The sequence below is a fragment of the Homo sapiens genome, chromosome 5 (assembly GCF_000001405.40).
Source record: "Homo sapiens chromosome 5, GRCh38.p14 Primary Assembly".
NCBI lineage: Eukaryota > Metazoa > Chordata > Mammalia > Primates > Hominidae > Homo > Homo sapiens.
Genome location: NC_000005.10, coordinates 56,295,726 through 56,311,772, shown reverse-complemented (window position 1 = coordinate 56,311,772; position 16,047 = coordinate 56,295,726). Strand labels below are relative to the sequence as shown.

Sequence of the window (16,047 nt, the reverse complement as noted above, 5' to 3'; positions counted from 1 at the left end):
CAGCTGGTCCTACTATTAGTTAATGAGCAAAATGACCCTGGCAAATCATTAACGTCTCAAAATCCCAGCAGCCTAGCTTTTAAAATCCAGTGGCAAGACCTTGGCTGATGAATTTTTCACAAGTTGCCCAGGTGAATCTAACACATCAAACATCTGGACCTAAAGCCCTCTTCAACTATGATTTTCCCACACATTCCCCAAGCACTGCAATTCTCTGTCTCCACGTGCTTATCAAAGTATCTTTTCCTGGAATGCTTCACTTTCTCTCTGCTTAACCCTGTAAACTCAGGTGCATACACACATGCACACCTGTGCACATACACACACGCCAAGGCCCTTCAAGATCAGCTCCAACACTGCCCTCTCCAGAAGGTCTTGCCTAAGGTTGGAGCTCACCTTTCAATGCCCTCTTTCTTCAAACAGCTTTAAATAGCATTTATCACGATTATTCCTTGGTGGGTCTTAGCTCACCACCGGTAGACTGAAACTTGTTGAGAGTATTCCTTCTTGCTCACCTTTCATTTTCCACATTAATCGTGAAAGTAGCTTGTGAGAGTTGGTTGAATTGAGTTAAATTAACCTGACATGAATTAATTGAGAGACATCTTGCTGAAGGTGACAAGTTGGAGGCTCTTGGGAGGATTATAGATAAGGGTGGAGGGCTTGTGTCTCCTGACCTATGTCTCTGCCTATCGTGGAACTCTTACCAGGCACATCCCCTATCTGTCTCTATCCACATGTGATTGTGGACTCAAAATCAAAAGAAGGGCTGCAGCTGTTTTTTGTCAAAATCGGACAATTTTATATCTGTAATCTTGCAGCCAGAGCGGTTGAGCTGATATATTTCATGACTCACTCTAGACAGATTAAAGTCTGTCCCTGAGAAACGAGGAGGGGGAACCATTAATCTTTCCTAAAATAAACAGAGAGTTATAACAGCTCTTTAATCTGAAAAGTGGAGATCCTGAGCTGGAACACAGCACCCAAGGGCGCGCCAAATTCCACGATGAGTAAAGAGTGCCCAGATAATAATTGATTGTGGGATCCTCTTCCCTGTGGTCCCTGAGGGGCGTTCACAGTGTCGCCAGCATTTAAAGAGGCTTTGGCAAAGTATCTGTCCCAGCTCCATATGAAAGAAAGACTTGTCATCATCTGAACCCTTTGGGACACTTGCTTTGCTAAGCTTGCATGGAAGCTTTGGGGTGCCTATGCAATTAGCATTTCACTCTTGGTGGCCTACCACTGTGTCCCATCCATGCGTCTCCCACCCAGCCACCCCCATCCACAGGAGTTCTTGCTTCTCCCCAGGCATGGCAGAGTTTCTCCTCTACTTTCCCAGTACTCCCTCACTAAACCCTGAAATTTGGCCAATTCCGCCTTCAGGGTCATCAAGCATCACCTTTCTTTATGCCAGTGAGGCTCAACAGTCTCTCTCCACTGCATCCTGCTCCACCTCCCAGGACACAGCAACCAGTGGATTCCCTTTCCTTCCTTGGTTTCCAACCTGATTCTCCTTTGCTTCTCCCTCTGACCTTCTCTGATGCCTCTTCCTTGTCTGTCATTTAATTATCAGTATCCCCAAACTTCTTCCTCAAGTCAGCCTCTCTTCTCCCTCTACATTCTCTTTCTTGACAATGTCATTTATTCCCACAGAACCTCAATGACAAAGACTCTCAAACAAATTACCTGTTCCCAAGCTACAGACTCATTCTTTGAATGGCCTGATAGACATCATTTGGACATTTTACTGGTATCTCACACTTACCATTTCCAAATCTAATGGATTATCTGTGATTCACCCCACCTCCAGCCCCTCTTCAAATAAGCTCTAGTGCCTATTTTCCTTATTTCCTACAGTAGCACACAATTACTCAGTCACTTTATACTTTAACTCATGGAGCATGTACAGCTCTTAGGTTCTTCTCCATTCCTCTCTCTGACATGCCTCTGTTTACCAAATTCTTAGAGTACAGTCCTATAGATTCTGTGTCTAAATTGTTTCTGGTAAGTATTTTCTCCTGTCCACATTCATGACCATAACTCAGGCTCTTACTATTTTTTGTCTCATAATAGCTTTGTTACTGGTTGTCCTGCTTCAAACATTGTTCAGTTTATCATATTCTTGCAGAAGAATTTTTCTAAACCACAGACAGGAACATATTCCACTGCACAACTTTCAAAGACTGAGTACTCCCCATTGCCTGCTGATTGTATCAGAAAATCTTCAGCCCAGAATCTAATGCCCTCCATAATATGACTCCCACCTACTTTTCCAATCTCATTTCCCACCAGAGTCAAGTGTGACTACTCACTGTCCCATGTAAACACGCCAACTTGCATGCCTTACTGCCTTTGCACCATTCTCTCATTCTGCACTGCCCCAAATATCCCTTTTCTGCCACCTAAGTCTTTCTGTGACGATCTTACCAAGGATCAAGGCCATCTCCAAGCCACCTCTTTCCTGAAACCTTTCCTAATCTCTCCAATGTTGGAGAGCACTCTTCCTTTCAGCCCATGCCGTACTTTTCTGTGATTTCCTTCCTTCCTTCCTCCCTTCCTTCCCTCCTTTCTTTTTCTTTCTTTCTTTTTTTGACAGTCTTAGCCTGTCGCCCAAGCTGAAGTACAGTGGCGCAATCTCAGCTTGCTGCAACCTCTGCCTCCCAGGTTCAAGCGATTCTCATGCCTCAGACTCCCAAACAGCTGGAATTACAGGGGTATGCCACCATGCCCAGCTAATTTTTGTATTTTTAGTAGAGACAGGGTTTCACCATGTTGGCCAGACTGGTCTCAAACTCCTGACCTCAAGTGATCTTCCCACCTCGGCCTCTCTAAGTGCTGGGATTAAAAGCGTGAGCCACTGTGCCTGGCCCCTTTCTGTGATTTTTCATTGTAATTTATGTGCTCTTATTTTATTCCCTTCATTAAGTGGATAGTTATCAACCTTTTTCACCCTTATGAAGGATGACAATCATACTTTTTTTTTTTTTTTTTTTTTGAGACGGTGTCTCGCTCTGTTGCCCAGGCTGGAGTGCGGTGGTGCAATCTTGGCTCACTGCAAGCTCCGCCTCCTGGGTTCACACCATTCTCCTGCCTCAGCCTCCCGAGTACCTGGGACTACAGGCGCCCACCACCATGCCCAGCTAATTTTTTTGTATTTTTAGTAGAAACAGGGTTTCACTGTGTTAGCCAGGATGGTCTCGATCTCCTGACCTCGTGATCTGCCCCCTCGCCTCCCAAAGTGCTGGGATTACAGGCGTGAGCCACCTCGCCCAGCCGACAATCATATTCTCTATACATGCTTGTGTCAGGGTCCAGCAAAAAAGCTGTAACTTAATCCTTTTCTATCCCAATCAAAAAGCATATCAAAAGGCAAGATGGGGATATGCTTAAATCTATTTTATTTACATAAAAGGCACATGCACTGGAAAGGGTTAACTCAGAATCCCTAAGTTGCTCAAACTCTTCACATTCCAAAAGAAAGCCTCTCTTCAGGACTGACCCTTGGCTTGGGCAAAACCTCTGAGCTCTTAGAATATTCTGCATGATAAGAGTGTTTTTTGTATGCCTGAGGCCTTGGGCCAGGCTGTACCAGTATAACCAGATAAGTTTATGCTAAAAATGTGATTTTTGATAAATGCCTGTTTTTGCTCTGGGGAGCTAGAGACTGAGTAGCTGAGGTCAGTCACATGGGTGCTGAATGCCTATGTAGCGGAACCCCAGTTAAAAAACCCTAGATACCAAGGCTGGGGAGCTTCCCTGATTGGCAGTACTTCATGTGTGTTTTCACACATCATTGCTGGGAAATTAAGTATGGCCCCTATATGACTCCACTGGGAGGGGACATCTGGAGGTTTGTTCCTAGTTTCTCCTGGACTTTGCCCTATGTGCCTTGCCCTTTGCTGATTTCAATCTGTAAACTTTCACTTTAATAAAACATAACTATGAGTATAGCAGTTTCTGAGTCTTGTGAGTCCTTCTAAGAAATCACTGAAGCCTGAGGGTGGTCTTGAGGTCCCCTGACACAGCACATCATTCACAAACTTCAAAACTTTAGGTTGTAAATTGCTAGTGACTAACTTCACAACTGATTACAACCTACCACCAAGTCCTAACACATGGATTGTCCTTTGCGGTGAGAAGGAATATGTCTTTTTTATCTTTTCATCCCCTGCTATGCTTTGCACAGAGACTGGCCTTCAGTAGGTGCTCAGTTAACATTCAATTGCAAACATTAGAATCAAGATCTTGACCAAATATTAGAAAACACCTCTCAGCCAGGTGTGGTGGCTCATGCCTGTAATCCCAGCACTTTGGGAGGCTGAGGCAGGCAGATCACTTGAAGCTAGGAGTTCAAGACCAGCCTGGCCAACATGGCGAAACTCCATCTCTACTAAAAATGCAGAAAATTAGCCAGGCGTGGTGGTGCATGCCTGTAATCCCAGCTACTTGGGAAGCTGAGGCACGAGAATCGCTTGAACCAGGGAGGCAGAGGTTTCAGTGAGCTGAGATCCTGCCACTGCACTCCATCCTGAGGGACAGAGTGGAAAAAAAGAAAAAGAAAATATCTCTCAAGTTTGGGTATCATCTACAAACCCAAGATGCACCATGTAAGGCTAAGCTGTGGTAACAGAGAGACCCAAACATACGATGGCTTAAATAAGTCAGGTATTTGTTTTTCTCATCAACAAGTCTTGGGGGAATGGTCTAGGTTGGTGGGCAGTTTTTTCCCATGTGTTCATTCAGGAACTCGAGTTCCTTCCTTGTGTTACTCAGTCATCTCTAAGAGCAGAAATCAGCAGACTACAGCCTGCAGGTCAAATCTGTAGTGCCACCTGCTCTTGTAAGTGAAGTGCTGTTGGAACACAGCCATGCTCACTTGTTTATGTGTTGTCTATGGCTGCTTTTGTGCTCCAACGACAGACTGGAGTAGTTGTGACAGAGACTCTATGGCCCACAAAGTCTAAAATATTAACTATCTGGTACATTATATTAAAAGTGTGGTAAGCCTACAGGAAAAAGGAAGAGGGATAGAAGATATACATCAAATATTTTAAAGCCAAAGCATAAAAGTGACAGGTATCACCCTCACTCATATCTCCATGGACCAAGGCTAGTCATATGATTTCACATAGCTGCAAGAGAGGCTAGACACTGTAGTCTTTAGCACGGGAGTCAACAAACTTTTTCTGTAAAGGGCCAGAGAGTCAATATTTTCAGCTTTGAAGGCTGTGTGGTCTCTGTCACAATTATCCAGCTCTGTCACTGTAGTGTGAAAGCAGCTATAGACAATGTACAAATAAATGAGTGTCACTGTGATCCAAGAAAAGTGTGTTTACAAAAAAAGCAGTGGGCCGGATTTAGCCCACAGGCCATAGTTTTCCAACCTATGCGCTAGCTTGATGGCCATGTGTCTATCTTAAACTCTGGGGGTTTCTGTCATTAAAAGGAAGAAGAAGAGAATGGCTATGGGGCAGGGGGCAAGGGATATCAGCCTCTGATACAAATACTTTTTGTTCCCAGGCAAATTTTGAAAACAGATAATCCCATTCTTGATTTATTTGTTGGTATATTGCATGCTGACTCTAGTTGCAGAAGGCATATGTGTTGGAAAAAGTTATCCATTTACCATTTTTAAGAAATGATCTCCACTGGGCCTGAGTTCAACTCCATACTAAAGAAACCTGAAGCCTCTCCATTCAGTGTTCCCAGCAGTCTTCACTGATTCCTTCTGTTTTACTAATTAAAATCCATGTAACCCACGGTATAACTTTGCTGGGTATGGTTGATTGACACTCTCCATTCACTCCACCTCTTTCTATGTACTTTTCTGTACTGCAGTCTGGAAAGCTAAAATCTGCATTTCCCAGACTCTCTTGGATCTAGGGTTCTGGATGCACTTAGGCAAGACCTAAACCACAGCAGTAAGACAGCAGCTATCTCCCTGCTGCTACATCTGTGGACAAGCAGGTCATGAAAATGTGTCAGAGCAGTGGTGGCAGCTGGATTCCTGATTCTGTGATTTTATCATCAGCTTTGAAAGTATGAGGAGGCAGCTGTGGCTGCCATACTGGGACCAGGAAGCCAGGATCAGGAAGCTGCTGCTGGCCCTGGCACAGGCAGAGGCCACCTCAGCAGACAGCCACATCACTGCTAGAGAGGCAGCCAGGAACATTCCAGGTGGGAACTCCAGGATTCAAGGAGAGAAGTCACCACGGAAAAATTACCAATTTGCAGGACGATAAGTAGGCTTTCTTCCATGAGTACATTTCCTGGCCACAAAAAGACAATCATGGTTTTATCTTGGCTTTATATATAAGAATATGTAAGTAGAGTAGTTTGCTTCTGCTGAAGTTCTGACCATATGCCTCACCCTCAGGTCATCATCAGATGCCAGTTGTATATGTTTAGGGATGTCACATAACATCTCTGGGCTTCAGTTTCTTAATCTGCCAAATAACAGCATATGATGAGATGACTTTTCCAAAGACATGTTCTGTTCTAAAATCCTGTGAGCTATTAGTGTAATTAAAAACAGATATCTGCTACATCCTTTTTTGCCCTGAAGGACTGAGCCAGCCACAGATTCATTTCAGTGCTATTAGTGACTGTTATTGCTGAACTGCAGGCCTCTCAAAATTCGTATGTTGAAGCCCCCACCCCCAGGGCCTCAGAATGTGACTGTATTTGGACACAGGGCCTTTACAGAGGTATTAAATTAAAATGAGGTAAATATGGTGGGCCTTAATCCAATACAACCGGTGTCCCCACAAGAAGAGGAGATTAGAAAACAGAGAGACGATCATGTGAAGGCAGAGGGAGAAGCCACCCATCCACAAGCCACGAGAGGAGACTCAGGAGAAACCAAACCTGCCAACACCTTGATCTCAGACTTCTAGCCTCCAGAGTCATGAGAAAATAAAGTCCTGTCTTTTAAGCTACCCAGTGTATAGTATTTTGTTAGGGCAGCCCCAGCAAACTAATACAGTGATATCAAAATAAAACTTTCCAGAAAGCTTTCTGACAGCAAGAGAAAAAAGGACTAAGAAATTTCGCCAGCCAAGATATTCACTATACAATTAATGACCAGGAATGTAGCTAAATGTCCACAGGTAGGAGGCAGAATATCTTACCAGAGAAAGTGGAGACAAATACTGGACAACATTTCCATTTAGTAATAGAAAATGTTGTTAGCTCTATAGAGTATATGTAAAAGGTCCCCTGATGTTAAAGAATTGTTGGGATATCAGAAATAATGGCACAGTCAAAAAATCTAGAGCTCAGAGAATATGTACATTTTCTGCGAGAAAAATGACAATCACTTTATTGGCTATAATTTGAGATGTAGTCTAAGTTACTCTGGTCACTGCTTCCCAAATGTGTTGAGTTCCTCCCTGGGCTTTCCACTGGGTAAGTGAATGACCAGCTCATTGTTTTTGCCCTCTTTAAACATTGCTACCAGCCACTCTCCTCTCAGAGCCTCCCAAGTCTGACAAATATGAGCACCAAGAGGAAAGGAGAAGGGTCTGATTTCTGTTCATGCTATGACCCACTTGGTTCTCTGCATCTGCAGTCCAGCAGTTAGTTCCACACCTGGGACCATTTGGATTCCACTTGCAGGCCTGGCACTGCCTCCCCTCATAAGCTCATTTTAAGCCCAGGTGGATGTAACTTTGTTGATTCAGCATGAAATAAGCTTTGGCCCACCTGGCTTAGATACTGAGCTTCTGAGAGTACAATGACCTGCAAAAGGGTGCCCACACATACATAGTGGTATGCTGATTTCCAGGTCCATTCCACTATCCTAGGGATTCTCAGCTTTTTTCATATTGTGAGACATCACTGTGGGGCAGGAATGACCTAAAGGTTCCAGCCATCTAGGACCTGCCTGTGTTCCCCAAGGGTTGAGAGGATCAATTACTTGGACACGCCTGTTACCCAGTCCTACGGAAGCACACAAGCTGGGAGCTATGATGCTCTACTCCACTGCAACCATTAATGGCACTAAGTAGAACTAAGACTATACCTTATTGTCTACACCAGGGGTCTCCATCTCCCAGGCCTTGGACCAGTATTGGAACCAGGCTGCACAGTAGGAGGTGAGCAGTGGGGGAGTGAGCATTACCACTGAGCTCTGCCTCTTGTCAGATCAGCTGCAGCATTCAATTCTCATAGGAGCGCAAACCCTACTGTGAACTACGCATGCGAGAGATCTAGGTTGTGTGCTCCTTATGAGAATCTAACTAATGCCTGATGATCTGAGGTGGAAGAGTTTCATCCCAAAACCATTCCTTGCCCACCCTTTCCATGGAAACATTATCTTCCATGAAACTGGTCCCTGGTGCCAAAAAGGTTGGGGACCACTGGTCTACACTATAGTAGTACTTGAGGGTGACCATGAGATGCCTACTAAGAACTTAGAAAGAGTGAAATGATATTGCTTTCTACACATTAAACAGCGAGAGCAGTTTATATTAGGCTGTAATAAGAATATACAAATCACTTTAAAAAGACAGCATGTTACCCGGGAAGCACTGTTGATTATAACTTGATTAAAAGCATAGAAAATGTAAAGATAGCATGAACCATCATCATCAAGATCTAGAAAATGGGAGGGTGAATATTGGCTGAGACTGTTCAGGTGTTCAGGGACATGGAGCTTTAGCTGCTAGGCTCCAATTTCTCCCTTTTTCCAGACCATCCTGATGGCAGGATGGATACATCCAGCCATCTCATCCTGATGCTATTATACACATATATCTAAATCTCCTCATCTTGATTCCATGCACACAAAGCATCCTTCTCATTTTAGTTTTGCCTTCCATGTAAGTCTGCCTTGGGAAGGGGAGTGAGGGAATGTACTACTTGCAGGGACTTTCAAGAGTTCTGGTCCCCAAGATGGGGATGTCTCCTGATAAATCAGAGAGATGACTTCCGATTACAACTTGGGTTACCATGAAGATTTTTACAGGGAGAAAATTTTCTGGAACAGGCCAAGAGGAGCTTTCCTGTCCATGTGACGGCTATAGATTTCATGCAGATTAATTGTTTGACATTCTTAAATCTCATGCAAACTAATGTTTATTTTTATTGGCATGGATAACTTACCACCTGATCACCAGCCACTGCCAATGATGAGAATCTGAGTATTTGAAGAAGTGAGCGGACCCTCACATGATGGAACTTAATGAGGGCCTATAAAATGTGGCCATGCCCAGCTGCAGTGGGTACTTCCTTGGGCCGTACCACCACTATTTCCATCTCTGTTCTGTCTCCCAGTTTCTGTATAACTCGTGTCTATTTCAGAAGTAATATATAATCTTGAAGCAAGTGATTGTGCTGGGTGATTCTGATCTCCAAGTTCAGATGACTTTGAAAGAATTATATTTATTTATTCAACAAACCTAGTTTACCCCCAGATCTCCATAGCCAGATAAAAAGACAAAATGAGAATTTTTTCCTTGTGACACTGTGCTTTGTGAGCTATTTATCTAGCACTAGAAAACTGACCTTTTTTGTTTGTTTGTTTTTGAACTCCAGCAATTCCACATCCTCTGAGGCTGTGCTCCTCAAACTTAATGTGCATATGAGTCATTTGGAGATCTTTGTTAAAGTGCAGGTTCTGATATAGTGGGTCTGGACTGGGGCCTAAGATTTCATATTTTTAAAAGTTCCCTGGTGATGCCAGTACAGCTGGTAGACCACACTTTGAGTAACAAGGTTCTGGGGAAAATGTATAGGTAAACCAGCTAGTAGTTACATGGAGGTATTGAAGAGGCAGAAATCGAGGCCCCTGGCCCTCTGCAAAGTACTAACCCCAATATCTGTCATTCAGCCATTATAGTTTTATGCCTTTGTCTCCAGGAATTATTTGTTAAAATGCAAGTATTCATTGATGAAACCATGCATTAAGTCCAGCTAATACCATGATCTTCAGTGGTACCTTAGCAGAGATCCTGGGCTATCAGGAAGGTTGCAGTATGGCATTTCAGAAAGAAATGCTATTCAACAATAAGGAATATTAGATAAGAATGCTTTTAGTTGCAATTAACAGAAATCCAAATTACGAGTGATTTAAGCAATGAATACATTTACTCATCTCACCTAGTAAGAAGTCTAGCAGTTCAGGACTCTGTCATATCATATCATCTAGGTTCATTACACCCTTGATTCTCCATCTTTGGTTCTTGGCTTTTTATCCTTGTGCTTATTGCCTCGTGGCCCCAAAATGGCTGCTGTGGTTTCAAGCATCACTTCTACGTTGAAAATGGAAGGAAAAGAAAGTATTAAATAGCATTGCAAGCCACGCGTCTGTCTTTTAACAAGAAAGTGAAATCCTTAGCAGAAGATTCAAGCAGACTTCTCCTTGCATCTGATTGGTTGGAACTGGATCCCTTGCCTTCCCTTAAACCAGTCACTGGCAAAGGGGAATGAGATTGCCTTGGGCTTAAAGTAATGATGACTCATTCTCTGGAAGTTAGGAGAGGGACTTGCCCTTCCCAATAGGAAGAAAAATCCACCTATTACAAAATCAGGGAGTGAAACACGGGGCAAATGCCAGTGAGTAGGCCATGAACATTGCCTGCCCCAGGAAGAAACCAGTTCCTACTTGTAGAGAAGGCAGCAGAATGCCAAAGCCCAATTTCACCTATGCCACAGTGCAGCCAAGTCCAGCCCTTCCACCCACCCCCTGGTACCTCCCCATGATTTCTTCACTTTACAACAGGAACAGTAATTTGATGTTTACTTTGAGCTCAGGAAGGCTGTGGGGGGCACAGAATGTGCAGTGGGCATTGTCAGAAGAATGATCTGAGGTGTTGAGAGAGAGGCAGAGATGTAGAGAAAGGTGCTCAGAAGCAATGGGTAATAAAGCAAAGTGTTTAATATAAACATTATTTCATTTAAATCTCAAAACAATCCTATGAAGTAGGGTCCTTTTCCACAGTTTATGGATCAGAATGCAGGGAGACTAAGTTTTGCCCAAATTCACATCATTTGTTCAGTATGTCCTCACCTAATGTCACCAATAGGTTCTTAGAAATTGGGACAGGGGCCAGGCACAGTGGCTCATGCCTGTAATCCCAGCACTTTAGGAGGCCAAGGCGGGTGAATCACCTGAGGTCAGGAGTTTGAGACCAGCCTGCCCAACATGGTGAAACCCCATCTCTACTAAAAATACAAAAATTAGCTGGGCATGGTGGCGGGTGCTACTCAGGAGGCTGAGGCAGGAGAATCACTTGACCCTGGAGGCGGAGGTTGCAGTGAGCCAAGATTGTGCCACTGCACTCCAGCCTGGGCAACAGAGCAAGACTCCATCTTAAAAAAAGAAAAGAAAAGAAAAAGAAAAAGAAATTGTGACAGGAAGCTAAACGCTGTACAGCAGGTGCCGAAATAACATCATTTAGCTCAGTGTCATTTCATTATAACATTGATGAGGAAAAAAATGGTTATAGGTCTTTTTGCTTAAAGTCACAATTTCCAAGAACTTATTGACCATGTTAAATGAGGGCTTTCTGTAATTGGAAGACTTGAGATTCCAATGGGCCCATGGATCCCAAAGCTCTGTTCCCTCACACCCATACTCGCACATTCAGATGAGGGTCTTGCTCAAAGAGGTCACCCTGTGAGTTTTGTGCACTTTGTTTAAGGACTCTGTTTTGCTGAGAAAGTCTTTAGACCCCTCCTGTGGAATTGGTCTAAAAGCAGGTCACTGGCCACCCAGTCAGGGTAAGAGAATAGCCTTAAATATAGATATATATAGTTATATTACTTTATGACAGTCACATCTCAAAACATGAAGTTCCATATCTACATCATAAAACATACATCTCTAACTCAGAACTCATCCCTCCTCTCCTCTCTACCACCATCTCTGCTCCACCAGCCATTGTTATCATTCTCCTCTTACAAAAATATTACAGGTTTATTGGGGGAAACACAGCACTTTGGAACAGAAACAAAAGTACCACTCTAGGGCTACTTTAAAAGTTCTACCATTGTATTGCCTTCCTTAATTTTCTAGTAATTTTCCTGCACTGGGTCCCTATTCACTCCAGATACAAAAACTTTCCACCCTTTCATTGGTTATCTTGTCTGATGGGAATCCAACTCAGGCCATTACAGAACTCTGGTGGAGGGCATCTTATTTGGGCCAGCTTGTCTACTAATTTGTTTTCGCCTCCATTGATTCAATTTCTTTTGAGTTGCCTCCAGCAATTAGGCATTCAGATCCTTGAGGCAAGGATCAGTGCTACAAATCCCGAGAGAAACAGATGTCTGGGAAACTTGTCCTTTCTTTTAACTTCTGGCCCTTTGGTTCTCCCTGGTGGGGAAATGACTTGGCTTCTGCTACTGCTATTGACCTTCCTTGGCCTGTGTGCACCCGGCCTGGGCTGCCTTTGCCCTTTTCTGAGATGCAGCGAGTGTTCAGCTAGGATGAGAATGTCCCATTCCTTGGCACAGTTCTCATAAACATCATTATCAAGACTCCGGATAATTATCCAGACTATAGATGCTAGATTTGTGCAGCCTTTTCAGAAGAAATGAAAAGCAGGTATTACCTTCTCTAAAGTGTGAGCTACAGCAAAAATAAAAAGAGATGAATGAATATAAGGGGGTAGAGAGAGGAAGGAAACCAGCTCTGACCACCTACTGGGAACAGGCCTAGGCATTTTTAGCATATATTATGTCATTTCATCCTCACAAGCCTGGCAAGCAGGCATTATTTTTTTACATTTTACAAGGATATTGAGGCTCAGGGAGGCTGAGAAATTTGGCCAAGGTCACCCAGCTTGTAAGTGGAAAATCTGGAATTCAAATACTCTCTCTGAGTCCAGAGACTCTTTCTATAACATTTGGATGTTTTGGCACCTAGAACACTGTATTTGAAAAAGACATGGGAAATGGAGAGATGCCATCCTGCTACTTTTGCTACAGATTTCAAACTGTCTCAGTGTCTCCAGCAATAACATGTAGATGATGCTCGTGGGAATAAAACCATTGCCCCACCATGCTGTGGAAAGCAGAAATGTGGCGTTTTTAATCCTTTGGCTACAAAGAGGAGAGCATGGAAACAGGCCTAAGATGAATGAAGATAGCCCTGGAGATCCCTTCCCTCATTGATAAGGAAGTCCATCGTAACAAACTTCCCAGACTCCAAAACTCTGAGAATCCCTTTTCTTGGCATTTGAGTGGTTCAGTCTCTGACCGGGCCAGACCTCTGGCCCAACTTCAGGCATCTTCCTCCCACAGACAGGCCAAGAACTGGAGCTCTGTTGGGCCAGGCGTCACAGGGCCAAGCTGGGAACGGAGGCAGCCCTGGCCTTTCCGTCTACCCCTCGCATGCCTGGAAGCATCCTTCTCTCTTCTTCTTCTGTTACTCCCTTTCAATTCTAACTTCTAACACTATGGGTGGAACCTTCAAGTTGCCAGCAGCTGAAGCTATTCACGCAGACCTGGCTCTAGAAATGAGTTATTTGGGGAAAACATTGATGCTAAAAATAATTATTGCTGTGTTTCACCTTTCTCCTCCAACTCATTAGCACCAAACATGGACCTGTATTACATTATCCAATTTTGGAAATAGATATTTCCTTGTGTTTCTATCAGTACCAACAATCTCAGGCCAGGTGAGTGCTCAGCACTCTGCAAAAGCCACTTGGCTGTGAAGTCTTATTGGATAAATGAGGTTGTACGTAGTGGAAAGATAAGGTACAGAAATTAAAGAAAACTCATTGCAACACTCATTGAGTAAGCAGGGCAAAACTCCTCAAGGAAGCAGTGGGAGGAAGGGTAAAAGCATTGTGCTTTTAAGTTGAAGAGAGACAGGTTCCAATCCTAGTCCACCATTGATCATCTGTATGGCTGCGAACAAGCTCCATAACCTCTCTGAGCTTTAGGACTCCCACCTTTTAAAGGGAAACTGTAATCTCTGTACTGTATTGGGAAGATTAAATAGAATAACCATTGTATGGCAGCTATGATCATTATTATGATAATGAATATTTTATGTCAGGTGACTAGAGGCAGCAGGTCACTATTGTCCTGCACCTATGGGTTTCCATTTCCCCTATAAAACCCTGAAAACGTGTTGTATGAAAGGAGAGAAGGTTAGCACTCCCCTTGACAAGGATGGAAGCGGCCCTCGGGCCTGACAACACGCATACGGTTAAGGCATTGCCACCTACTTCGTGGCATCTAACCATCGTTTTTTATACATCATGGAATACTATGTAGCCATTAAAAATGATGAGTTCATGTCCTTTGTAGGGACATGGATGAAATTGGAAATCATCATTCTCAGTAAACTATCGCAAGAACAAAAAACCAAACACCGCATATTCTCACTCATAGGTGGGAATTGAACAATGAGAACACATGGACACAGGAAGGGGAACATCACACTCTGGGGACTGTTGTGGGGTGGGGGGAGGGGGGAGGGATAGCATTGGGAGATATACCTAATGCTAGATGACGAGTTAGTGGGTGCAGCGCACCAGCATGGCACATGTATACATATGTAACTAACCTGCACATTGTGCACATGTACCCTAAAACTTAAAGTATAATAATAATAAATAAATAAAAAATTTTAAAAAACCTTGAAAACAGGCTGGGTGCAGTGGCTCACATCTGTAATCCCAGCACTTTGGGAGGCTGAGGGGGTGTATCACTTGAGGTCAGGAGTTTAAGACCAGCCTGGTGAACCTGGCAAAACCCCACCTCTATTAAAAATACAAAAATTAGTTGGGTGTGGTGGCACACCCCTGTAATCCCGCTACTCAGGAGACTGAGGCACAAGAAACACTTGAATCCAGGAGGTGGAGGTTGCAGCGAGCCAAGATTGCACCACTGCACTTCAGCCTGGGCAACAGAGTGAAACTATTTCAAACAAAACAAAATGAAAGAAAAACCTAAAAAGTATAGACAGTGCAGATATATCCTTGGGTCCCATGGCCAGTGCCCAGTTTTCCTTTTGTGGGGAGAAAAGCCTTACCTGCTTTGCAGAGTTGCTTGTCAGAGCCTAGTGTGTCCGAAATTGGTGGGTTCTTGGTCTCACTGACTTCAAGAATGAAGCCACGGACCCTCGCGGTGAGTGTTACAGCTCTTAAAGTGGCACGTCTGGAGTTTGTTCCTTCTGATGTTTGGATGTGTTCGGAGTTTTTTCCTTCTAGGGGGTTCGTGGTCTCACTGGCTCAGGAGTGAAGCTGCAGACCTTCGAGGTGAGTGTTACAGCTCATAAAAGCAGTGTGGACCCAAAGAGTGAGCAGTAGCAAGATTTATTGCAAAGGACGAAAGAACAAAGCTTCCACGGTGTCGAAGGTGACCCGAGCGGGTTGCCACTGCTGGCTTGGGTGGCCTGCTTTTATTCTCTTATCTGGCCCCACCCACATCCTGCTGATTGGTAGAGCCAAGTGGTCTGTTTTGACAGGGCGCTGATTGGTGCGTTTACAATCCCTGAGCTAGACACAAAGGTTCTCCACCGTCCCCACCAGATTAGCTAGATAGAGTGTCAACACAAAGGTTCTCCAAGGCCCCACCAGAGTAGCTACATACAGAGTGTCGATTGGTGCATTCACAAACCCTGAGCTAGACACAGGGTGCTGATTGGTGTATTTACAAACCTTGAGCTAGATACAGAGTGCCGATTCGTGTATTTACAATCCCTGAGCTAGACATAAAGGTTCTCCAAGGCCCCATCAGAGTAGCTAGAAACAGAGTGTGGATTGGTGCATTCACAAACCCTGAGCTAGACACAGGGTGCTGATTGGTGTGTTTACAAACCTTGAGCTAGATACAGAGTGCAGAGTGGTGTATTTACAATCCCTGAGCTAGACATAAAGGTTCTCCAAGGTCCCACCAGAGTAGCTAGATACAGGGTGTCCATTGGTGCATTCACAAACCCTGAGCTAGACACAGGGTGCTGATTGGTGTATTTACAATCCCTGAAGCTAGACATAAAGGTTCTCCATGTCCCCACCAGACTCAGGAGCCCAGCTGGCTTCACCCAGTGGATCCCTCACAGGGGCTGCAGGTGGAGCTGCCTGCCAG

At 44.1% G+C, this 16,047-nt stretch overlaps 1 long non-coding RNA gene and 1 pseudogene across 1 annotated transcript in view, besides 1 other annotated feature; one reads left to right on the top strand and one right to left on the bottom strand.

Moving 5' to 3' along the window:
• The window catches only part of LOC105378977 (uncharacterized), a 54,627-nt gene extending 39,290 nt beyond the window's left edge, over positions 1-15,337 (bottom strand). Inside the window, exons 1-2 of the long non-coding RNA XR_948342.3 lie at positions 14,993-15,337; positions 10,102-10,253 (exon numbers count right to left, since the gene is read on the bottom strand). This is a non-coding gene — a long non-coding RNA (uncharacterized LOC105378977). The remainder of the gene's footprint in view (positions 1-10,101; positions 10,254-14,992) is intronic.
• Positions 11,433-11,645: a silencer, noted in NCBI's record as "fragment chr5:55595955-55596167 (GRCh37/hg19 assembly coordinates)". NCBI's record gives its function as "represses an EF-1alpha promoter that drives an FKBP-Casp9 reporter gene in an ReSE screen in K562 erythroleukemia cells {active_cell/tissue: K562}" and the evidence as "EXISTENCE:reporter gene assay evidence [ECO:0000049][PMID:32094911]".
• On the top strand, positions 14,084-14,208 carry RNU6ATAC2P (RNA, U6atac small nuclear 2, pseudogene; annotated as a pseudogene).
• Positions 15,338-16,047: the final 710 nt, after the last annotated feature.